Genomic DNA, 24,193 nt, shown 5'->3' on the forward strand with positions numbered 1-24,193 from the left:
CGAAGCCCCGCCCCGGCGCGGGACCACCCCCTCCGCGGCCTCAGCTCCGGTCCTGGCCCCGCCCCCCGCGCCCCCGCCCCCGCCCCCGCCCCCGCCCCCGCCCAGGCGCGGGACCACCCTCCGCCCGCCGAGGCGGGGGCCCAGCGCGCCCGGCACTCTCGGCGGTCCGGGCCCCTCGCCACTACCGCCGCCGCCGCCGCCGTGAGTCCCGCGGAGCCGCGCGCGCCCCCGGCTGGGCCGAGCCGCTGGCCGACGAGCGGAGCCTCAGGAGCCGGCGGGGACGCCATGCGAGCCAGGTAGGCAGGCGGCGGCGGGGAGCGCCTCGGGCGGCAGGGCCCTGGGGGCCGGCGGGGGCGCGGGGTCGTGCTCGGGGGCTTTGCACTCCCTTGCGGGCGCAGATCGTGCCGCGGGCGCCGATCGTGCCACCGCCGCCTGAGTTCGGGGCTGCGCGGGTGCCTGGGCGTGGGGCGGCTTCGGGGAAGCCTCGCGCGCCCCTCGCCGCTCCCCCGGGCGCTCGGGTCTCCCTGGTGCTGGTGGGCAGGGACCCGGCCCGGGGTTCCGGGCGCCGAGCCGCAGCCCTCCGCGTGCGCTCGGGCCGCCCCCCAACCCCGGCTCTGGCCACTTCCCGGCGGGCGGCCCTGCGGGGTGGCCTCCCTGGGCAACCGGACGCGTCCTCGGGCGCAAATCGGGGGGCGCGCTCGGCTCACGGGGGCCGTGGGGGCCACGGGAGGGCGTGGAGGGGTCGGGGCGCCCCCCTCGAGCGGCGCTGGGGAGGAGGGAAGGACGCGCGGTCTCCGGTTAAACTTGTTGGTGACAATGCATATTTCAACTTCTTCGGAGATCCCTCCTGTGAGGATGAAATTGAAAACTCCGGTTTCTGGCTTGGCGATCGGGTGACCGAGCAGCCGCGAGGTGACAGCGCCGGCGGCCCGCGGGCGGGGACCGGCTGGGATAGAGGCGCGTTGTTCTCTGAGCGATGTTTACCGAGAAGCCCGCTCCGCGGCACGGGCGGGTGTCAGTTGGGACCCCAACCCTGGGTCCCGCGGCTCCTAGCCCGGGGCCTGCGGTGTAGACGGGGGTTGGGGACAGGCCCAGCTGGCCCTGACCGGGTGTCGGGCGCCCAGAGATGCCGCGCGGGAGGAGCCGCGGGAGAGCCGCCGGACTCAGCGAGCAGAGGGTCGTGGAGCCTGATGGATCGATGAGATCTGAAAAAGAACACTGTGCGAGATTGTATTCCTGCTTATTCTTTCCAAGTTAGTAGGCAGATTGGAACTATAGAATTTATCCGTGATAATAATAAAGTTCGCATAACTTTTGTTCTGATTACAGAAACAATGTATGCTCAGGACAGAAAGCTAGAGATAAAGAGAAATATAAACAGCAAACAGGAAACCATCCCCAATCCCACATTTTTTACCAGCCTTGTCACAGCCTGGCAGATTTGAACATTAAGTTAGAACTGGAGCCATTCTTGCCTAAACCAGAGAATCCCTGAATGCAGCCGCCCCTTCTCACCCTTGTGACCGTCTCTGAGCTCCAAAGTTTGGGTTTTTTCCTTGCTCCCTACCCGGGCAGAATCTCTGCTGGCCACGAGTCCCCTTCCCAGTGGGCTGGGGGCTTTCCTTGAGATCCGTGGCCCAGATGAAATGATGGGAGAGGCCTGGATCCTCACCGCCCTCTGTGGTTTTGGTTCCTTGCCTTGTAAAAATGAAGGTAATGATTCTCAATCTGCTTCTCAAGCCACCATAAAAATTAATGGGTGGTTTGCAGAGCGTTTTGACATCCGTGGATGGACAGCGGCTGTACTTTAAGGCGCTGGGGAACATTCTACTGTTCCTCATTGCAGTGGTCATGCAGTGTAATAGGCTGCCTCTCACCTGGCCGTCCTGCCCAGGAAACAGACTCCAGGAATGTCCAGTGGAGCCCTGAGGACAATATTCCTGGTTCCTTGCTCAGTGCCCTCGGGACTCGGCCAAATCCCTCAGAGTGGGAAGCTTGGGAAGAGGCAGCGCTCTCCAATCCCCCTCCTCCACCTCTGCTTTCTGCTTGTAGGCGGATTTCTTAAAGTAAGGGGGCAGTGATATTTAGGCGGGACCCCAGATTGCCCACTGCCTGATGTTTGTGGGTCTGTGGAATGCCCGGGCCGTGCTTATCCAAAAGAACAGTTAGTTCTGGGAGGACGCATAAACTGAACAAACCTGGCTTCCTAGAGATTTGTATGGCTCACTTGTTTACTAAATGAACAATGACCGGCTGCGGAGAAGCCCAGGACACTTCTGTGAGCTTTATTATTATTTTTTTCCTGTTGTCCCAAGACTACATTTTAGTGATCTTATAAAACAATAAATAAGAACCCATGCCATTTGTTAATTCTGGGTACCAAAGGCCCAGGTGGGGAGAGGTACTTCACAGCATGCCTTTTGTCCCCAAGCACCCATGCCACCCCCACAACAACAAAGTAATCAGGGTAGAAGATCCTCTTTCTGTAACCGTCTGTCGTTTGATAGTTTCATTTTTTAAATTGTCCTTTCCACCAGCACGTGGATCTGATCAGGGTCTGTCTAGTTGCAGATCACAGCTCAAGAGGGGGTTTTGGAAAGACCCAGAAAGTGGGCTGAAAAAAATGCTGATAAAGTATCCTTCACCGGGTGCCTTGTCTGTTCATGTATTGTGCTCTTACTTTTCTCTGTGGAGGGAGGACCTTCCTGGCTTTTCTCCCTTGCTCTTGTTTGCTAATCCGGCAGCCTGGAATTATTTCCCTCTGGGCTGCTTGAATAGACTTTCTTCTTATTCTAATGCTGGATTCTAGTCTGATCATAAGATATGCGAATGGTGAATGTGGTTTACGCCCTTGAATCCTGGGAGGTGTTCCTGGTTTTAAATCCTGGGATCCTGGCCAGTTAAGAGCCCCTGGCTCCCCTGAAATTGCGTGGGAGGTGTGTGTGCTTTCTTTTCCTGGGGAGCTTCTTACAGAGCCCTTGACCCAAACAAGGTTGAGAGCTCCAGAGTGCGGCCCTGGCAGACCTCGTCCCTGGACCCTGGCTCCAGGCAGACCTCCCAGTTCCAGCCTCGTTTCAGGTACCAGCCTTGTTTTGACCGAGTAGGAGCTGCTGTTTACAACTGGCCAGCCATGTGGATTTCCCTTAGCTTTATTATTTTCAAATTGCACACCTAAATTGGGCTGTGTTGTGATTTTTCTTCTGCAAATTGGACTCAGGCCCCTGGGACATTTCCCAAGGCCCTGGAGGTGGGCATCAGGTCTTCTCTGTTGCGAGGTAGCCGCCTGACAACCAGGAATCCGAAAAGGTCACCGATCACTAAATAGAGTTCTCAGAGCACTCTCAGTGCGCGGGTCAGCTTTGCTCCTGGCCAGGAGCGAGCCTCAGGCCAAGCAACGTTTACACTCAGCTTCTGGGGAGCTGGGCTAGGTCTCTGGGCTCCCCAGCTATTTGCACGAAAGAAGCCTCACATTCTGCCACCACCCTGTGGAGCAGTGACAGAAAAACAATTCATCTAGCCCCCAAATACCCAGGGAACAATCCAGCTACTTGATTCAGTATCCTCCAGGAAGCCGAAACCAGCTCCTCGGTGGGCCCTGAGGGCGTCCACGTGTTACATAACCCAGCACCTGATCCCACCGTGACCTCGCTAAAGGGAAAAAGTCTCAATAATCAGTCTTCAGAGGGCGAGGGAGTGCAGAATATGCTTTAGAAAGAGGCTGTGTGCCGTGTTTTAAGAAGGGTAAAATCCCATGTAGAACATCACAGCCTCCCATCTTCCAGGTGAACAGTGCCTCCTGAAGTCATCAGGAAGCATATGGATTTGAGGAAGTAGAATTGCTGTATGGAATTCCTCTAATTTAAGGTTTGGGGTATTTTGAGGGATGGAAATAGGTACCACTCGTTGAGGGCTTACCATATGCTAGGCTGCATGTGTGCCCTTTTGAATCCTCACGAAAACTACCAGGGGTTTCATTTTACAGGGAAGCTACGAGAATTTAAGAAACTCCTCCAACCTTAGACTTTAATGAGTGCTTGAGTTGGGATTTGAACCTGGATCTGTCCAAGTCCAGAGCTCGTCATCACATCTCCCGGGGTGCTGAAATTAAAGAAACAAACGGCTCTCAGTCACACATTGGAGCCTGAAGATACAGGCATGCAAATAGCGGAGTGCCAGCCTCCCTCACACAATTAGAAAATAGCTTGTACTCTGAAGGTGATGAAATCTTTAAAACATGTGACGCTTTCTCAGCCTAAATGGAAGGCAGCCATTTTGCACCTTTGTTCGTGAAACCCTCACCCCGTCACCAGGGCGAAGCAAGGTTTATTTGGAAGATTGTGACTTTGAAGTTGGGATAACCCAGGATTTGGTACGATGTCTTTCCTTGTCCCGTGAAAAGAGGGTGTTTGGGCACATGGGGTCACTAGAATGAGATTAAGATTATAGGAAGGCGGTTAAGTAAATGTACAATAAGGGTTCCACCTTCCTCTTTACAATCAAATAAATGACATACTAATGAGATTATTCTTATCTGCGCAATAAAAGCTTATCTCAGGGGAGCTCTCTTTGCTGAAGCCTGTTAGCCCAACTCTTCTGTAGAGATTGAGAAGAATACTTCCTTTGAAAGGATTTTATGGTTCCAAGTTTTTATTAAATCTGCATAACTGAGGACAACCCTGCCTCTTTTTTTTTTTTTTTTGAGTTGAGATTTCTCTGTTGCCCAGGCTGGAGTGCAGTGGCTCAATCATAGCTCACTGCAGCCTTCAACTCCTGGGCTCAAGCAATCCTTCTTCCTCAGCCTCCTGAGTAGCTGGAACTACAGGTGCACACCAGCACGCCCGGGTAGTTTTTTTTTTTAAATTCTTGTAGAAATGGGGTTTCGCTATGTTGTCCAGGCTGGTCTTGAACTCCTGGTTTCAAGTGATCCTCCAGCCTTGGTCTCCCAAAGCACTGGGCTTACAGGTGTGAGGTATGTTGCCCTGCCCTTGCCCCATTTTTATGAGCAGGCAGGAAGCTTTTCTAGCCCCTCCAATGTAGGAGGTCCCTGAGCTCATAGTGTGCCGGTAAACCTGCTCTCTGAGGAGAAAGCAGAGCTTCGATTGCAGTATCTGCCAATTTCTGTGACGTAAATATTCCCACCATGGCTAATTTCTTTTTCTTTTTTTTGAGTCTCACTCTGTCACCCAGGCTGGCTGGAGTGCAGTGGTGCAATCTCGGCTCACTGCAACCTCCACCTCCCAGATTCAAGCTGTTCTCCTACCTCAGCCTCCTGAGTAGCTGGGACAACAGGCATGTGCCACCACGCCCAGAAGTTTTTGTATTTTTAGTAGAGACCGGCTTCCCCATGTTGGCTAGGCTGGTCTTGAACTCCTGACCTCAGGTGAACGGCCCAGCTTGGCCTCCCAAAGTGCTGGGATTACAGATGCAAGCCACCATGCCCAGCCTGATTTCAAACTGCCAGTTTGGGCTGGGAACATTACTAAATAGTTAACAATCTGTGTGAGCCAAGAAGAGCTGGGTCCTGCTCACCATTCATTGCACTGAGCCCACCCACACGACACCCCTGCTTCCCCTTCCGTCACCCCCATCACTTTAATGGAAGAAATTGTGGCCTCACTTCTGCTTGGTCCATGTCTGCCTAGGAGCAGTACTGAAAAAGGATTTGGGTACTACTGAGTAACCGAATTTGGCCAGCAAGAGTAGAAGGCTTCAAAACTCAGGCTGCATTTTAAAATCACCCGGGAGCTTAAAAAAACAACAATCCATGTTCCAGGCCCATCCCCAGTTGAATCAGAATGTCTGGGTGTGGGTCCAGACCTCTGTAGATTTGGAAAGCTTCCCGGGTGACTGTAATGTATATCCACGTTGAACACCAGGGATGTGGTGATGAATTTGTTCAAGAAGAAAGCTGAGGGGGTGCAGTTTGGGGCAGGGCGTGGCAGACCCTGTGTATTTGAGCCCAAGGAGGTGAGATCTCCCTTGCAGAGCAGGGAATGTTTTTCCTTAAGGCCTCGTAGAGGGTGAGGAAGTGCTGGGCTAGGAGAGGCAGGCGGAGCCCATCTTCCCCCCAACAGGTCTGTCCTCCTCCAGGGGCACGTGTCCTACACTGATGAGGTCCACATACTTGTTTGGCTTTGGTTGCTTCTGCTGGTCTAGAAAGGAAAAGAGTCTTCCTTCCAGGAAGTCAGGGGGTCAGGATGAAGCCAGGCAGACCCCCTGGGTGGGTGTGATGAGCTGTTCTCAGATATTAAAGCAGAGGGGCTTACTGGGACCACCCAGATGAAGGAAAGAGAAACCCTACCGCCCAAGGACCATAGCTGAACACTTTGTAAGAGTCCTTGAGCTTGGGTGCGCACATAAGCTGATTATTTTTTCTCCATCATAATTACCAGTAAAATTATTTTAAAATGTGAGAGCTTTCCTTGGAGGCAGTAAGCATGTGGGAGGGAAAAGTCATTCAACTTCAGAGCCAGCCATGGTGAGCGGGGCTGGGACTGGGGAGAGGCACACGAGGCCCCTGGGGTGCAGGATTCAAGGAGGTGCTCGCCCTGGGGGGGTGTCTGGGGAAGGGTCTGTCCTGCTGGCCAGAGGAGGGCTGTTTGAGAGAGGGCGGTCCTGGGCTCACTTCCTTAGAGTTGGGCAGTGAGTGTGGAAGAGCTCATACATGGGAACCTAGAGTGAAGAGCAGGGGCCAGGATCACACTGCTGGATCACCCCCAGAAGGGGCAGGAAGGCTAAGGGGGAGCCAGTGGAGGAGCAGCTGGGATGGGAGAACAAGTGCCCTGCGGGGCCCTGAAGTCAAGGAGGAGAAAGATGGGGGTAGGGGGAGAGGGGGTTGAGAGCTCAAAGCAGACGGGACAGTTCTGAGTCTATCATGTGCGGAGGATTTATGAACGGGAGGACTGGAACCCTGTCACTGTGGTAGTGGAGAAACTCCTATAATAGAAGAAATAGCACAGAGTGGAGGCCACGCAGAAGAATGTTGGTGATAAAAGAAATTGGACCGTATTTGATGGTGTGGAGACAGGGCAGGAGGGAGCCAGGGTTGGGTCAGAGGGACTGGGATTCTAGCAGGGGCGGAAAATTCTCCTTGGGGTACCCGTGCGGTGGGGAGTGGCCGCAGATGCTGAGAGGGAAGCATTGGGTGTGAATAGCTGATCACCAGGAGCAGCTGGTTAAAAGACCTTCCCCAAATGCTTTCTCAGATCATAACATCTGCAACTTTTTCCCACTAGCCTTTGTGGAGGGCTGGCTGGGGGGCCCATTTGTCCTTAAGACTCAATTCAGCAGACTCACTTGCTCTTCCAGGCCCAGTTCACACTGCCTTCTCAGACACACCCGAGGAACCTGCACCTGGGTCTGCCTGTGTCCTAGCTTTCTTACCTGTCTGTTGTCCCCCTAGGCAGGGCGCTGCTTGGGGGCAGTTGCATTTTATTATCTCTGCATCCTCCATACACAGGAGCCCCTCAGACACCATGCCCAGTGCATGAAAGAGCTGGCAGAGAGAGAGAGAGAGCCTGGACAAGGTGAAAACTTAGGGTGGTGACTTCATACAGCCATGTAGTGACAACTCCAATATTCTCTTCTTGACATCTTGGCAGTAAAACTTACAATATATGATAGAAGTAATTCCTCCCTATGAATAATAAACGGCTTACTTATAAATACTGTCCAGTGGCCATCCCCGTAGTTCTGTGCAATTTAATTTTTAATTCAGGTAGGTTTACCTTGCCTTTGTTTACCCATTTTCCACTGTTGCCCTTTGTAAGAGGATTTGACTTTTTTTTTTTTTTTTTTGAGACGGAATCTCACTCTTGCCCACGCTGGAGTGCAATGGCACGATCTCGGCTGATTGCAACCTCCGCCTCCTGGGTTCAAGTGATTCTCCTGCCTCAGCCCCCCAAGTAGCTGGGATTACAGGCGCATGCCACCATGCCTGGCTAATTTTTGTGTTTTCAGTAGAGGTGGGGTTTTACCATGTTGGCCAGGCTGGTCTTGAACTCCTGACCTCAGTTTATCTGCCCACCTCGGCCTCCCAAAGTGCTGGGATTACAGGCATGAGCCACCTTGCCCGGCGAGGATTTGATTTTTTAAAAGCTTTAAGATTAAGAGATAAATGGAGTATTATTAAAATGCATGTACATTTAAGCATTTTTAAATCCTGCTAACAATCATAGTTGATGTACAAGTGCCGTCAAATATTTGTATGTGTCCTGTGCATAAATGGGAAATAAGGGTACGGTATTCAGATCTAACTGAAAATAATGATTGGAGCTGATGTAATACTTACACATAATTCATGTAGAATGCTAGGCCCAGGGCCTATGCCCCATTGCAAAGTGGTGAATACAGATATGGTTGTGGTTCTTCCTGCTGTGGTCTGGTCTCACGTTTCCTTACCCCTGTCCCAAATATCCCCTCTAGCAAGTTGGGTTTTTGTTTTTATCTTGTGGTTTGAGGAATCGATATTTCAAATGTTTGTAAGAGGAATGCTCTGTTCCGGTTCAGTACAGAGCAGCAGCCATTGGTTCTCTCCTTTACAGTGTGGGACTAGGACATCAACACAATTTTGAATTTTGGTCTCATTTCAGGCCTGTGTGAGGGGGTGCTGACTCTGGGTGACATCAGGAGATCAGGCACTGGCTAGTCATCACAAACAGAATCCCAAGAGTTCACTTAGTGCCCATTTTTGCTTATATGTGTATCTTATTGGAGCCACCTGTGATTTTCAGAACTGCTGAATTGGGGGAAAGCAGACGCAACTGTTTGGGGCCACGTGCGCACACACTTGAAATGCTCAGTTGCACTGTGTAATGTAGGATTTTTCCGTGGTTTTGGATTCTTCCCATTTTTGTTGGCCTTTTCCCTGTGTTACGCACTGAGACACTTCTGTACACAGCTGTTTCTTCGAAATCAATCAAATTTGAAACAGCCTGATTTGCAAAACTGAAAGTTGTTGTATGGAGGAAGATCCTTGGTAAGAATTACATGGCTCACGTATCATGTTCTTCTTACATTGTTTTTTGTTTCCCAGCCATTGTCAGGGAACAATAGCTGGAATGACGTTTTCACAGACTGCAATATGAGAAGTTCCTTTTTCCAGTGGCAGCTCCATGGCTCTTTGTTGGGACCTGGTTCATTGCGGGGACATCACAGTGGGAAAGAGCAGGGGGTGTCTGAGCCCCACACACCTGTCTGTGTCCGAATATTTGGCTTCTCTTCCTGTTATGACCTCGGTCACATTTTTGGACATCTTTGAGGCTCAGCCTTCTGATCTCTAAAATGATGACCATCGTACTTCGCTCCTGGAGTTGGGCAGTTTAAATGAGATCACACTCAATGCCACTGTACTGCTAGCTGTGGATTTGGCTCCATCATTGTCCCTGTGGTTTTTGTTTGTTTGTTGTTTGTTTTTGAGATGGAGTTTTGCTCTGTCGCCCAGGCTGGAGTGCAGTGGTGCGATCTTGGCTCACTGAAATCTCCACCCACTGAGTTGAAGTGATTCTCCTGCTTCAGCCTCCCAAGTAGCTGGGATTACAAGTGTGCGCCACCATGCCCAGCTAATTTTTGTATTTTTAGTAGAGACGGGGTTTTACCATGTTGGCCAGGCTGGTCTCGAACTCCCGACCTCAGGTGATCCACCTGCCTCAGCCTCCCCGGGTGCTGGGATTACAGGTGTGAGCCACTGCGCCCGGCCTCCATGTTGGTTTTGAGCCCCATGCTTGTCAGCGTGCAGTTCATCATGCCTTGCTTCTTTTGTCTTGTGTACATGTACCATAGTTTATTCTTAGATACTGAGTTAATAGAATTTCTGTGATGTTCCAGCATCTGAGTTGAACAGAGTGTAAGGGTTTGATATTCTTCTGATGCTCAACTTGACCTTTAAAAAGCTCGTAGGTGTGGACCAGGGGCTCGATGCAGTCCTAAGTGTCTAAATAAGGTTTAGGGCTCATCCATGCCAACTTTGCCCAGTTCCTGAAGTTCCTGGAGGAGGTGGGGTGGTGGGGGTGGGGGTGGGGGTGAGGAGGGGGATGTGTTTGATGAGGCTACAGGTCCCCAGACCTGGGGTGGAGTGTGGCTCTGGCAGGTAGCATAGAAGGACCAGCAGCAAGTGCCGGAGGCCCCTGTGCCTTTGTTTGCAAGAGGTCTTTACCTGCCCTGACTTCTTGGGTGGGGTGGGGAGGTGATAACATCTTTTGTTCACTGTAAGTACTTTGTAGACATATGAGTTGTTTTCAGAATTGTTCCTTGTGATTTTCTTTCAGCTTTTGGTTTTTTTGGAGACAGTGTCTCCCTCTCTCACCCAGACTGGAGTGCGGTGGCCCAATGTCAGCTCACCACAACCTCCGCCTCCCAGGTTCAAGTGATTCTTGTGCCTCAGCCTCCCTAGTAGCTGGGATTAGAGGTGCATGCCACCACGCTCGGGTAATTTTTGTATTTGTAGTAGAGATGGGGGTTTCACTGTGTTGGCCAGGCTGGTCTTGAACTCCTGACCTCAAGTGATCTGCCCGCCTTGGCCTCCCAAAGTGCTGGGATTACAGGTGTGAGCTACTGTGCCTGGCCTCTTCTTTTCCAAAAAAAATAATAATAAAAAAACCTTTTCTGCTTATGTATTTTAAATTACTGAATAAATTACATGTTTGTACATGTTTGTTTTAGAAACACTAGAAAATGTAAAAAGAAAAAAAATCACATCAGTGGAATTCTACCACCCATGATGACCACTCTGGACACTTTCATATGCGTCTTTCAGATATTTTCGCTTGAAGTATAGAGCTTCCAAACAAAAACAGGCTGAGACAGTGAGTGGTCTTGCCTTTGTACCTGGCACATAGCAATTTTTCAATAAGTATTTATTGAATGAATACTATGCTTTTTTTTTTTGAGACTTTTTAGGCTGGAGTGCAGTGATGTAATCTCAGTTGACTGCAACCTCCGCCTCCTAGGTTCAAGCGATTCTCCCGCCTCAGCCTCCCTAGTAGCTGGGATTACAGGCACTTGCCTGTAATTTTAATATTTTAGTAGAGACACAGTTTCTACTAATTTTAATATTTTAGTAGAGACACAGTTTCACCAGGCTGGCCAGGCTGTTCTCAAACTCCTGATCCCAAGCGATCCAACTGCCTCAGCCTCCCAAAGTGCTGGGATTACAGGCGTGAGCCACCACGCCCGGCAATGCTATGCTTTTAAAAATAGCTTTTTATCTAAAATTGTTGACATATTTTCAGATCAATAAATACAGATTTGCATCCTCATTTTTCATGTCAGGTTTGTATAGGTACAGGTACAGTACCCTGTTTGTTTAATAAGTGTTTGTGAATAGACACTTCCCAGTTATTTTGAAATTATAAACAACACTGCAATGAACATCTTTGATATATAGATTTTTCCATGCATGTTAAGTTTCTCATTTGAATGAATCTTTTACTTTTATTGTGCTTAAAATCTATGAAGAACTTATAATTATATTAATTGTTGGGTGACTGTATAATTACTATACAGAAAAGCACCTCAAAAGGGAGTGACGTTGGGAAGAGTTCCAGAATCTGTTGTATAAAACTTGGTGAACTTTAAGAGCGGCCGTACTTGTTCCCATCCTTTTTGGGGGAATGCTTTCTGTTTCTCCAGATCCTGACGTGCTTTGCGTTCTGCGCTTTTGGAGTGGGAGGGTGGGTCAACAGAGTAATGTTGATGCCTTAAACGCATACTTCAGTTTTAGGATGCACACATACATGCCAGCTTCAGAAGCATTAACATCTGGGAGTAACTGTATGTTCTAGAGTCCAGGAGGTGTTTCCGTTGGGAGGTCTTCAGGGCCCACTCCCTCCTAGAAGGGGATGAGTGATGGTTTTCATGCATTCAGCTTCGGAGCTGTTGTTGTAAGCTTCTCCAGGGTCATGTCGTCATGGGTGTCCAGAGTGATTTTGTGGCTGTGTCACTTGATCAGCTGTGACAAGATGGACTGCAGTTGGATCTGGCATCTGGTAAAAGCACAGACTTGGTTTTCAGGACCTCTGGGTTCACTAAGGGGAGAGTTTGTCATGGCTCCTGCTGATCGCAAGACTGTAATTTGGATCTTGACTGCGGTCTGGTGTCGCAAGCCTTCTTTCTGGCAAGAGAGGAAAACTAATTTATGGGCGGAATATTTTTTGGCCTGTCTCCTGTAGTTTTGCACAGGGGCCTGGCTGCCTCCTCAGGTCTTGGCACCGCAGTATTTGTGAGTCATCCACCTATAGGTAACATGAGGCAGCACTTTGGGGCTTCGTGAAACCCCAGCTATGGGGATAAGGGACTGGCCAGCATTCCCAGCACGCCCCAGGGGCTGCTTAGAAGCAGGAAACTGTCCATGAGTTCTGGTTTTTTGTTCTGAGTGTGGAGGACACCTTCAGGAGGCTGGGGAGGGGCCCTGACATCAAGCCTGAGAGCTGACCCCTTTTCTAACTCTCTGGGACATGGTCCTGGCTCTTTCCCTCTTCTTGTTCACGCTTTAATGCCTTTTAATTCCTTGACTCACTGCTGAGCCCCTCTGCATTCCGGGTGGGGGAGATAAATGGGGAGCCCACCAGATGCAGCGTCTGCCCACAGGGAGTTCACTGCCCAGCAGGGGAGAAGGGGCATTCAAGTGCACCAGGGGAAAGGTCAGGGTTCATGAGGTTGTAGTTGTACTGGGGGTCAGGACAGGATCCCTAAAGAAGCCCCACTAAGTAGGGGGACCTGAAGAATGAGCAGGCCAGGAAGTGCATGGTGATTTAGGGGGGCAGTGGACTGGTGGGTTCTGGGCAGGGTGGCTTGGTGAGTCCAAGGAACCAAAAGAGGGCCATAGTGAGACCCCCTTCCCAAGAGCACCTGGGAGGGATTCCGGGGCAGGTGGCTGGATCGGACAGGTCCTTCTGCACTTCCCTCGCTTTGAACTTGTATCTAAGGGCACCAAGAAGACGCGATTAGACGTGTAAGCGTGACTTGAAAGGGGCCGGGTGACCTGCCTGGGGTTCCCTGGCACAGGGGGTGACCCATCCATCATCGACGCCTGGCAGGGAGGCTACCCTGTGCACCACATCCTGTTCCAGACCCCCATCTTCACAGCCCTGGCACTACGTGTAGCAGAGTCGGTCTCCCAGCCCAGTGCTCCCGTGACCCACATGTGGTACTTCTCCCTCCCGGCCTGCTGTGAGATTCTTATAAAATTGTCTCTGATTAATCACCCTGTACAGCTTTTAAAAGTTACTTTTATTACCCAAAACAACACTTCAGAAACTAAGCTGACGGTTGAATCATTGAAGGAGTCACAGCATTCTTTCATCCCAGAGAGAAAAAAGGTAATGAAGAAGAGGAGACTGTCCAGTGAAAACCACATGAGAGGCACCCAGCATCAATGCACCTCTCTCTGGTCAGCTGAGTCCTTGAACTCCTCGGCAGTTCCCCCTCAGGGAAGGTCAGCGGACAGGCTGTGTCCTGGCTTTAATTGTCAGTTTCTGAAACTCACCAGGCTGGGTAGTCAGACTTCTGACAGCCACTGTCTCTGCACCCCCGTGAGCTGCTGAGTTTACTGGCCATCCAGAGAGACTTCTGTGTTGAACCCACATTAACCTGGCTAATCCCATCTCTTCTGTGAAAACTTGAATACAACCTTTTGCAATAGGAAAACCGGCTGTCCTCAACTGGCTCAGAGGAAAACCATTAGCTTTTCAAGGTGAAAAGGAAATAGTGAAAAGCTGGGAGATGATGTCATAAACACTGATTTTTTTGTCATTAGTCAAATTGTCTAGAAATTGGCTGCTTGCTAAATTGGGAGTGGGATCGTTATTCTGGGAAGATGGGGGTTTTTTTCATGCTCAAGAAGATGGGTAAAATGGCAGTGATTTCCACAGCGAACCTGTGTTGGAGGGCTGCGACTAACAGGTGAGTAACATTCGGGACAAAATTCTGATTTACTGCTCAGCCGATGATTGCCAACTAGGCATGATGGGAAAAACTTGCGCTTGTGTGACTTCGAATGTCAGGTTGTTTGTGGTTGTCCTCTTGTGCTACTAGGATTTGCAAATAGGCAATGCAGTAGAGCTCGCAAATGGGGTCTGGAAGGGAATGTACAAAAATAACAATTGTTGTTTGGGTTGAGATTTGGCCTGGCGAGGTTGAGGATGGTCATCTCCTGCTCACTACACCTGACCCCTCCCGTTGTCTTTAAGGAAACAAAGTAAACTTCGGGAGAAAGAGGAGAAAGAGGCTGGGCACGGTGGCTCACACCTGTAATCCCAACACTTTGGGAGGCCGAGGCAGGTGGATCACTTGAGGTCAAGAGTTCCAGACCAGCCTGGCCAACATGGTGAATCCCCATCTTTACTAAAAATACAAAATTAACCAGGCCTGGCCTGTAATCCCAGCTACTTGGGAGGCTAAGGCAGGAGAATCGCTTGAGCCCAGGAGGTCGAAGTTGCAGTGAGCCGAGATTGCGCCATTGCACTCCAGCCTGGGCAACCAGAGCGAAACTCGGTTTAAAAAAATGATAATTAAAAAAAGAGGAGGAAGGGAGGTGGTGGCTAAAATTTGTAGAGCAGCTACAGGCAGTCACTGTACTAGGTTATTTCACTTTCTTAATCCTCAGGAAAACTCAGTGGAGTAAATGGTTTTGTTTCCATTTTATGATGAAACTAAAGCCAAGAGGATAATTAATGTGTCCGTGAACATAGCAAGTATCTGAAATACCACGCAGTAAATCTTGTGTGTGGCACTTAGGTCTGGATATTAACCGAGGGGAATTGGAGACACAAGGCACCGGCATGTTGATTTTAATTTTCTGCAAACTCTATTTCACATTCTGCATTTGAGGATGCCTGTGACTTGGACATCATTTTGACTCTCTAATATTCCTTTGAATTATAAGGGTCTTTTGAAACTTTGGAAATAGTTATTTTCATTGGCGGCAAATGGACCTGGTGTCAAACTAATGTGAACGTTGCCTGTCTGGCAGAAAATGTAAAAAAAGCTTTGCTTAATTAAGGTAACATTATTCTTGATAGTAGAAATATTAAAAATACATAATCCTACTTCGCTAACTAATCACATTTATGTATTCCCTCTTTCTGATTCTTGTTTGGTGTTCATGCATAACACATATATTGTGCTTATAGTAATAATAGTAATAGAATAGGGCTGCATGCCATCCTGTGTTTTCAGCGCTTTACAACCTTACAACCATAGGAGGGGAGGGACTCTTACTGTCTCTGTTTAACAGATCGGGAAACTGAGGAACCATGGGGTTTAGGGACTTGTGTGAGCTGGGAAGTGCAGAAGCCAGGAGTTAAGTCCAGGCTGTCTCAACCATGATACTGTTCTCCCCTACACGGGGGGCCAGGTCTCAATTCCAGGGTGAACAAGGTGCTTAACCGGGACCAGACTGGGGAGCAGGATGGGGCTGTGTTGTGGGAGGTAGGGAACCTGAGGTCGCAGATGACGTGTGAGGGTGGGCGGGAGGTTGCCAGGTGGGTAATCAGGAGGATGAGTTCAGACCTACAGCAGGAGCACTCCTTGGAGGATGAGGGGAAGGCCCTAACACCAAGAGGGTGTGGAGCTGCGGTCTCACCACTACACCCTGACACGTGGGCTCTCCATCTTCCCTGCCTGCTTGGAGTCTCCTGCAGCAGTCCTCGACCTTCCAGCCCTGCAGCTTCTGCAGCAGCCTTGCACTTCCCTAAGTGGTATTGGAGCTGCGCTCATTGCAATAAGGAATTATTCTCATGGCTCCATATCCGCGTCAGGTTACCTCCTTCCCGTGCCTCCCTGGCTCCCTGGGTTCTTGGTTCTTGGTGCTCACCTCTGCACAGACAGGTGTCACTGAAGCCCCTCACCCAGTGACCCAGTGATGCTGAGTCCCGCTTTGGGAGGTGTGGCACAGGGGCAGCCACAGTGGACCCTTGGTGGAGAGGATCAGAGCCAGGATCCCTGCCACCCTGAGTGGCGGATGCTGCAGAGACAACTCTTTATACCTGAGAAGCTTGCCCTCAGGTATCTGTACTTTGTGGGGCTTCTCTGATTGGCCATTGTGTGTTCATCTAAGAGTTAGTGCAGGACCGGAAGCTCCCACCCAGATGGTGAAGGCACCTGCTGGGTTTCCTGCCACCTGTGGAGAAGCCCGCTCCTTCCCTTGCTCAGGTGAGGGCGACCACACCCAGGTCCACCTGGTTCCACCAACCAGTCCGTAGCTGATGGAATGAAGGGAGCAGCTGGGCTGTAGCCAGGTAGTTAGGGATCTGGTCAGCTCGGTGGTAGCAATGATAATAGATGGAGTGTTCTAGGTTTTCCCCTTTGGAAATCTGAACTCTATTCAGGGAATATTTGTTAGTAGCAACATCAGTAGACTTATGAGGTGGGGACTGGGGGCTTGTGTTTCCATGAGGGGTTGCAGAAACACGGCCACCTGATGCCCAGTGAGTTTGTAGAACCGGATGGACCTTGGGGTGTTCTCCGTGTACCTTCTAAGGAGTCTTTAACTCAACAGAGTTGTTCTTTTTTTTTTTTTTTTTTCAAGTTGTTTACTCTTATTTTCTAGTTACCCTCTAGAATTATTGCATTGGGGCCAGGTGGTGTCTAGTACAGTTTTTTACTTTGGAGAATTTATTGAAATTTTCTTTGGCTGAGAATGCCTTCAGTGTTTGTGGTTATTCCTTGGATACTTGCAAATCGATTGTATTTTCTCTGGGACACGGGGTTTCAGATAGATCAGTTAAATGAAGCTTGATTATATCGTATTTCACGTCGCATGCCATGTGTCTTGTCTGTTGGACTGTCAGGTCTCAAGAGACGGGCTTGGGTTTCCCTGTGTGGCTGCTGCCTTGCCCCTTCCCCGATCCACACTCACGGCTTTTACCATATGTTTTAGTCGTTCTTTCGGCATAATTGGATGTTTCCGTTGCTTTGCAATTTTACCAGTAGAGAAATCCTGTGTGTGTGTATTTCATACTTTTCCTGATACCCTTTTATTGCCTCCCTTTCTAGGTCATTTCATTGTGGTTTTATTTTATGCAAACAGTGTGCAAGTGATTCTTTCTGCCAGTTTTCATATTTGGTGTTGTAACTCACACAGTTGATCACTGCCCTCTTCTTTGAAGATGCTGTCTTCTAGAGCTCTTTCTTCCTTTATGATTTGGAAGCGAGACCAGCCACCCTGGTTCCAGGCGACTTTGCTGTTAGCTTTAGAAAGGAGAGCATTCAAGCTAGTCTCAGCCCAGGGCTACTTCCCCCAGGGCGCCTCTTCCCCGTAGCCACAGGGGAGCTTTCATTTGAGAGGTTCTAATTTTGTGTTGTTGAAGTTGCCAGTCTTGTTAGGCAGACTGACAGCTTAGGCTATCTCACTTATTGGCTTTTTGCAGAATTTTGTGGGTGGTTTTGGTTTTGTACGTTCGGTGCTCTGATCTGCGGGTGGCTTTGGGGAACGGTAGAGTCTGGGTCTATGCTCCTTCCTCATGGTCAAGTCCCCTCCCCTGAAGTTTGGAAGTTGCATGTCATCACGTGCAGCCCTGGGACGTCCCAGTGTGTGCTGGCTCTGAGTAGGTGGCTCTGTGACCCTGGCCTCTGACTGGGAGGCCACCCTTGTTCCTCCTGCCCATTCATTCGTTGATTCTCTCAGCAGACACGCACAGGCTGCCTTCAGCGCCAGTTGTCGCCTTCCAGCTATTCCAAGGACTGAAAACACAGATCTGATCGTGCCTCTTCCTGGCCTGCAGACTTCCAAGGGCTTCGTGGTTGTACAGAATAAGCCTCCGCTTTTCCACACAGCACACGGAGCCTGGCAGGCTGGACTTGGAGGGTTTTATCCCGAGCCTGCTCCTGCCCTGCCTCCTCTGGTGGGCCCCTAGGATGCCTGTGGGTCCTCTCAGGGAAGCATGTGTGTACCCCAGCCTTTCCCTTACTGCCTCTGCCCAGTGGGACCTTCCTTCTCAGCTTTCAGGCTGAGACGCGTGCTTGCGCGCACACACACACCCCCTCTTTCTCTGTCTCTCTCACACACTCTCGCTGTCTCTCACACACACACTTACACACACTCTGTCACACACACACATTTGCATACACACACACTCCCTGTCTCTCACACACACACACTCTCACACACACTCCCACATACACACACTCGCTGTCTCACACACACACACTGTCACACACTCACAAATACACTTACTCACACACACTCATACACACACTCACACTGTCACTCACACACACTCACAAATACACTCACTCACACACACTCTCACACTCTTACACACACACTCTCACACTCACTCACACTCCCCCTTTGTTTCTAGAGCGCTTCTGCTTTAGTTGTAGCCGTATTGGTCAGAACTCAAAACATTTGGGAACGCTGATGCCGAAGGACTGGCCGGATGGAATCTTAAATGTAGAGAAGCCTTAACCCCTCTGTAAACCTTGGCGGGACTTCTCCTTTGTGCATCAGAATCAACTGTGAAGGTTAAAGATACTGCTCAGGTCCTTCCCCTAGAGATTCCATTGGCCTGGAACTGGGACCTCTGGCTTTTTAATTTTAAAAGCATCCTAGGTGACTCGATAGGCCCAACTGGGATTGAAAATGAGCAGTTTAGACAGTTACCTCCTTTGGAATACGTGTCTTGAGTGGTATCATTTCTGAGATCATGGTTTTACAAAACTTCGGGTGTGCATAACTCTTTTTATTGTAGGAATAATAAAAGCCTTTGTAGTCATTCCAAACATTACAGACACATAGAAAGTGAACAGTGAGTCACCCTCCTTTCCTGGAGCGCCTTCCCTCGGGGCGCCCGCCTTGCATTCCGCCGCTAATTCCAGCTAATTGGGGTGCACTCTTCAGCTGACTTCTGTTGCGTAGGTTTCCATGTCTGTATTCCCAGATGGGATTTATGTGTCGTTTTCTTTTTTGTTTATTAGCGCTGGGGATCAGGATCACTTTTTGCCTCGTAAAAGCAATTGGAGAGAGGGTTGACTTTTTTTTTTTAACTGCGTTGGAATTGTTCTGTAGGTTATCACGCCCAGATTGAAAGAAGGTAGATGTGGGGATGGCTGCAGCGTGAGTTACCGGACACAAATTTCTTCAGAGACTACATGAAGACAACAAAATAGGCTACTCATTATGGCCTTCCCCCACTGCCTTTAAAAAAATTCTAAAATTGTGGTAAAAGACATAATATAAATGTTATCATCCTAACCATCTGGAGCATACAGTTCAGTTGCCTTAGTGTTGTACAGCAGAATCTTCACACCTTTTTCATCTTGCAGAATGAAAATTCTGTACCCGTTTCCTCCTCCCCCAGCTCTTGGCACCCACCATTCCACTTTCTGTTGCTATGAATTTGATTACTACAGGTACCTCACGTAGGTGGAATCATACAATATTTGTCTTTTTGTGATTGGCATATTTCACTTAGCATAGTGTCTTCAAGGTTCATCCATGCTGTGGCCTATCATGTTACAGTTGAAGGCTGCATAATATTCCATTATATGTATATGTTATATTTTATTTATCCATTCATCTGTCCATGGACATTTGAGTTGTACCTCGTGGCTATTGCGAATAATGCTGCTGTGAACCTGGGTGTGCAGATATCTCTTTGAGACCCTGCTCTCAGCTCTTTTGGGTATATTCCCAGAGGTGGAATTGCTGGATTATATGGTAATTCTATTTTTAATTTTTTGAGGCACTTCCATATTGTTTTCCTTAGCAGTCACTCCATTTGGCATTTCCGTCGACAGTGTACAAGGGTTCCGGTTCCTTCACATCCTCACCAGCGTTTGTTATTTTCTGGTTTTTTGACAGTAGCTGTCTCAGCAGGTGTGTGGTGGTCTCCCACAGTGTTTTTGATTTGCATCTCTCTGATGACTCATGATGTTGGCCAGCTTCCCTTCTTTAAACTGCATTTATTAACTTAAATTTTCTGTAAAGTTTTCCTTTTTCTTTTTTTCTTTTCTTTTTTTTTGAGACGGAGTCTTGCTCTGTCGCTAGGCTGGAGTGCAATGGCGTGATTTTGGCTCACTGCAACCTCTGCCTCCCAGGTTCAAGCGATTCTCCTGCCTCCGCCTCCAGAGTAGCTGAGACTACAGGCGTGTGCCACCATGCCCAGCTAATTTTTGTATTTTTAGTAGAGACGGGGTTTCACCATGTTGGCCAGGATGGTCTCCATCTCTTGACCTCATGATCCACCCGTCTCAGCCTCCCAAAGTGCTGGGATTACAGGTGTGAGCCACCGTGCCCGGCCTTTTTTTTTTTTGTTTTTTGTTTTTTTTTTGTTTTGAGACAGTGTCTCAATCTGTCGCCCAGGCTGGAGGGCAGTGGCGCCATCTTGGCTCACTGCAACCTCTGCCTCCTGGGTTCAAGTGATTCTCATGCCTCAGCCTCCTGAGTAGCTGGGATTATAGGCACGCACCACCATGCCCGGCTAATTTTTGTATTTTTTTAGTAGAGACAGGGCTTTACCATGTGGCCAGGTTGGTCTCGGACTCCTGACCTCAGGTAATCCACCTGCCTAGGCTTCCCAAAGTGCTGGGAAGCATGGTGGCTCATACCTGTAATCCCTTCAGTTTTTTTGTATTTTTTCTTTTTTTGGTAGAGATGGAGGAGGGAGGAGGGAAGCTGAGGCAGGAGGATCGCTTGAGCCCATCAGTCTGAGACCAGCATGGGCAACATAGTGAAACCCTGTCTCTACAAAAAAATACAAAAAATTAGCTGGGCATGGTGGCATGTACCTGTAGTCCCAGCTACTGGGAAGACTGAGGCAGGAGGATGGCTGAGCCCAGGAGGTCAAGCCTGCAGTGAGCTGTGATCATGCTGCTGCACTCCAGCCTGGGTACAGAGCAAGACCTTGTTAAAAAAAAATAAATAAAGCTCAAGTGAATTGTTTTAGATAGTGTGTGTTTTCTTTCATTGCACGTTTGCTTGGGGAGCTTATTTCTGAACAGACTGCAGAGAGAAGTTCCTTCCGTAAAAAGTGGGAACAAGCCTTTTTCCCGGCTTCACTCTTCCAAAGCCACCTTTACCTTTGCAGATTGTTGAGAGTGAATGTAGTTGAAGTAGGTTGTGTTGAAAAACACGTGCAGAACACAGACATCACCGCAGACCTGAGGGCTGAGACTCAAGCCTCCTGGTGACTCTAAAGTATGGCCAGCCATTGTCCTTTTGTCTGTTGGTGAGTTACATGTGTATCATAGAAGATGTAGAAAATAGAGCCTCGGAAAGAAATTAAAAATCACCCGACTTCCCTTAACTCCATTACTGTGAGCTAAATCACAGAGACATTCTTTTTAGATGGGGTCATTTGTGTTCATATCTGCACCCTGCTTCTTTCACTGGGTGGTTTCACTGGCAGTGCTGACGTCGCCCACACACCATCCACCTGTGAGCCATCCCTGGTGGGAGGTGGAAGGCCATCTTCCGGGGAAATTATTTTCAGTGCTGTTTCGTGACCCCTCGCTGATGGAACACAGTGGTTCACCTACCCCTGTGCCCTCCCGGTTTTAACATTTCCCTTCCAATCTTCCTTGCTAAGATTGGCATCTTTGCAGCATTTCTAAGCAGTATGTACAGCCTCACTTTGCAGAAGTCATTCCAGTGCTCTGTCCTGAAATCAAGTCATCGAGGATTTGTTGACCACCTCTTATGCAGGAGGCACCAGTCCCAAAGCAATTTGACTTTCTGAGGCAGTCGTATGCAATACGTACCCCCCTGAACAGACAGTACCTGCCCTTTCTCACTTAATTCAGCTGTAGGCTCCCAGAAGCCCTTCTGTGTAAAGCCTGGATTTTTTTTTTTTTTTAGGCACCGTCTTGCTCTGTTGCCCAGGCTGGAGTGGAGGGCACAAGGATGAGTGACTTCTGGGCTCAAGGGATCCTCCTGCCTCAGCCTCCTGAGTAGCTGGGCCCACAGGCGTGTGCTACCACACCCAGCTAAGTTTTACAACTGTTTTTGTAGAGAGTTTCCCTATGTTGCCCAGGCTAGTCTCAAACTCCTGGGGTCAAGGGATCCTCCTGCCTCAGCTTCCCAAAGTGCTGGGACTATAGATGTGAGCCACTGCACCTGGCCAAGCCTGGATTTTTGGGGGGCTGTGAGGCTGCACTGCCAACATGAGCCAGTCTCCAAGTGCTCCGGGTCTAGTAAGTCAACAGGGGAGGCTTTCAGAACTCAGCAGCTCCTCACTGGCTCTGGGAAAACTCATTTAGCGATTTGTGAAGGACCTGGCGCAGTGGCTCACCCCTGTAATCCCAGCACTTTGGGAGGCCGAGGCAGGTGGATCACCTGAGGTCAGGAGTTCGAGACCAGCCTGGCCAACGTGGTGAAGCCCCATCTCTAATAAAAATACAAAATTAGCCGGGCATGGTGGCGCACACCTGTAATCCCAACTACTCAGGAGGCTGAAGCAGGAGAATCACTTGAACCCGGGAGGCTGGGGTTGCAGTGAGCCAAGATCGCACTATTGCACTCCAGCCTGGGCAAAGAGCGAAACTCTGTCTAAAAAAAAATAAATAAATAAAAGAGAAAGAGAGATTTGTGAAGGTCATGAGTTCCAGCCCATTTCACTGCTCCATAAAATGCTACGTTGGTGAAATGGGCAGGATGAGTTGCTCTGTGGACAGGCAGCCCTGGAGCTAACAGGAGTATCCTGCATCCCACCACAGGATGTGCTGAGTCCACTTGGAAGCCCAGAAAAAGCTTCTGTGTTTAGCCCTTCAGTTTCTTGCCTTAGTGTTAGGCTGGCGCGGGCCTTCTGGTGCTCAGGGCCCCCGTTCCCTGGTCTCATTTTACACTAACAAGGGCTTCATGCAGCCCGCGGCCCAGGGCGTTCACAAGCTCTCTTAGTTCCGAAAAATCGAGGGGTTCCTTGCCAGCTTCTCTGGCTCCTGTCTGCCTCCTCTTTGTTCCCTGGCTGGTGTTGGGGTGCTTTCTGGACAAGGGTGAGGGGAGGGGAAGGAATCTGAGCCAGTCAGTGTGCCCACACTGGGGGTGCTGCAGGTCGCGTTTCACCCTGGCACGCCCTGCCTGCCCCGTTACGTGGCGATTTGTGATGGGGATCATAATAAAACTTAGCCTGATTAGAGGCATGTGGGAAGCATGCCCAGCACACGTCTCAGTCCCGTCCCTCGGAGCAGGCCAAGCTCGGGCGGCAGGCAGCTGCCTTGCAATTCTCGGAGTTTCAGGAACTGGACAGGGGAAGGTTGGCTTGCGATGTATTTCTCTGGGTTCGTTTGGTGCCGGGATTGAGTATTTCTGGTGAGACAGTTGTTGGAGAGCTCCTGGGGAGACAGGCATTTTGTGGTTGGTTGCATTGTTATCCCACAGGGAATTGGTTTCTTGCCTCCAGGAAATGGCAGTAACATCGGGGACAGCAGCAGTTGCAGGACGACAGACGTGTCACTGAGGGTGCAGGGTGCTATGGCTGGAGCTGCTGCTGTTCTCCCTATCACTCGTGGGGAAGCCAGGCCTGGCGAGGTGCAGGCACTTGCTGAGGTCACGGCGGCCAGACTGGAGCCCAGAACTCTGTCTGCACCTAAGCACAGTGTCCCTTACCTCCAGCATCTGAGTCCCATCGTCTAATGTGGCTTTAACCTCAGGATCGGGCCTAATTCTAGAATCCTACCTGCAAGACAAGCACTGTAAGTGGCTTCATTTCATATATGGGGAAACTGAGGCACCGAGCAGTTCGCTCAAGCTTTGAGGGTCAAAAATTGAATGAAAGTTGTTTGAGGCTGGGCGCCGTGGTTCATGTCTGTAATCCCAACACTTCAGGAGACTGAAACAGGAGGATTCCTTGAGTCCAGGAGTTCAAATCCAGCCTGAGCAACATGGTGAAACCCCATCTCTGCAAAAAACATGAAAATTAGCTGGGCATGGTGGTGCATGCCTGTAGACTCAGCTACCCGGGAGGCTGAGGTGTGAAGATCACCTGAGCCCAGGAGATTGAGGCTGCAGTGAGCTGCAGTCATGCCATTGTACTCCAGCCTGGGCAACAGAGCAAGACCCTCTCTCAAAAAAAATAAAAAATAAATAAAAGTAGTTTGACCAGGAACATTCAACCTTAGCTTCTCTCTAACCTCTAGTGGCTTCCCCACTTCTCTGCCTAAAAGAAGCTATTTCTTTTCTCCAGCCTCAGTTTCCTGTCTCGTCAGCCCCATAGAAACTGAGCTCTCCAAATTGAACGAGGACCCCAGAACACGGGAG

At 49.7% G+C, this 24,193-nt stretch overlaps 1 protein-coding gene across 3 annotated transcripts in view, besides 5 other annotated features; it reads left to right on the forward strand.

Annotated features, from left to right (window-relative positions):
* Positions 143-24,193, forward strand: part of SH3BP4 (SH3 domain binding protein 4) — a 103,698-nt gene continuing 79,647 nt past the window's right edge. The window contains exons 1-2 of one of the 3 annotated variants that reach the window (XM_047443849.1): positions 143-296; positions 841-13,899. The gene's annotated coding sequence lies outside the window, so the exon portion shown is untranslated. Of the gene's footprint in view, positions 297-840; positions 13,900-24,193 lie in introns of those variants that run through there. The other 2 variants (NM_014521.3, NM_001371302.1) reach the window with 2 other exon arrangements.
* Positions 596-1,245: an enhancer, noted in NCBI's record as "H3K27ac hESC enhancer chr2:235861114-235861763 (GRCh37/hg19 assembly coordinates)". NCBI's record gives its function as "activates a minimal SCP1, AML or CMV promoter by ChIP-STARR-seq in naive and primed H9 embryonic stem cells {active_cell/tissue: H9 hESC(naive and primed)}" and the evidence as "EXISTENCE:reporter gene assay evidence [ECO:0000049][PMID:30033119]".
* Positions 12,941-13,503: an enhancer, noted in NCBI's record as "H3K4me1 hESC enhancer chr2:235873459-235874021 (GRCh37/hg19 assembly coordinates)". NCBI's record gives its function as "activates a minimal SCP1, AML or CMV promoter by ChIP-STARR-seq in naive H9 embryonic stem cells {active_cell/tissue: H9 hESC(naive)}" and the evidence as "EXISTENCE:reporter gene assay evidence [ECO:0000049][PMID:30033119]".
* Positions 22,263-22,830: an enhancer, noted in NCBI's record as "H3K27ac-H3K4me1 hESC enhancer chr2:235882781-235883348 (GRCh37/hg19 assembly coordinates)". NCBI's record gives its function as "activates a minimal SCP1, AML or CMV promoter by ChIP-STARR-seq in primed H9 embryonic stem cells {active_cell/tissue: H9 hESC(primed)}" and the evidence as "EXISTENCE:reporter gene assay evidence [ECO:0000049][PMID:30033119]".
* Positions 22,831-23,398: an enhancer, noted in NCBI's record as "H3K27ac-H3K4me1 hESC enhancer chr2:235883349-235883916 (GRCh37/hg19 assembly coordinates)". NCBI's record gives its function as "activates a minimal SCP1, AML or CMV promoter by ChIP-STARR-seq in naive and primed H9 embryonic stem cells {active_cell/tissue: H9 hESC(naive and primed)}" and the evidence as "EXISTENCE:reporter gene assay evidence [ECO:0000049][PMID:30033119]".
* Positions 23,399-23,966: an enhancer, noted in NCBI's record as "H3K27ac-H3K4me1 hESC enhancer chr2:235883917-235884484 (GRCh37/hg19 assembly coordinates)". NCBI's record gives its function as "activates a minimal SCP1, AML or CMV promoter by ChIP-STARR-seq in naive H9 embryonic stem cells {active_cell/tissue: H9 hESC(naive)}" and the evidence as "EXISTENCE:reporter gene assay evidence [ECO:0000049][PMID:30033119]".

Source organism: Homo sapiens, chromosome 2 (assembly GCF_000001405.40).
Source record: "Homo sapiens chromosome 2, GRCh38.p14 Primary Assembly".
Lineage (NCBI taxonomy): Eukaryota > Metazoa > Chordata > Mammalia > Primates > Hominidae > Homo > Homo sapiens.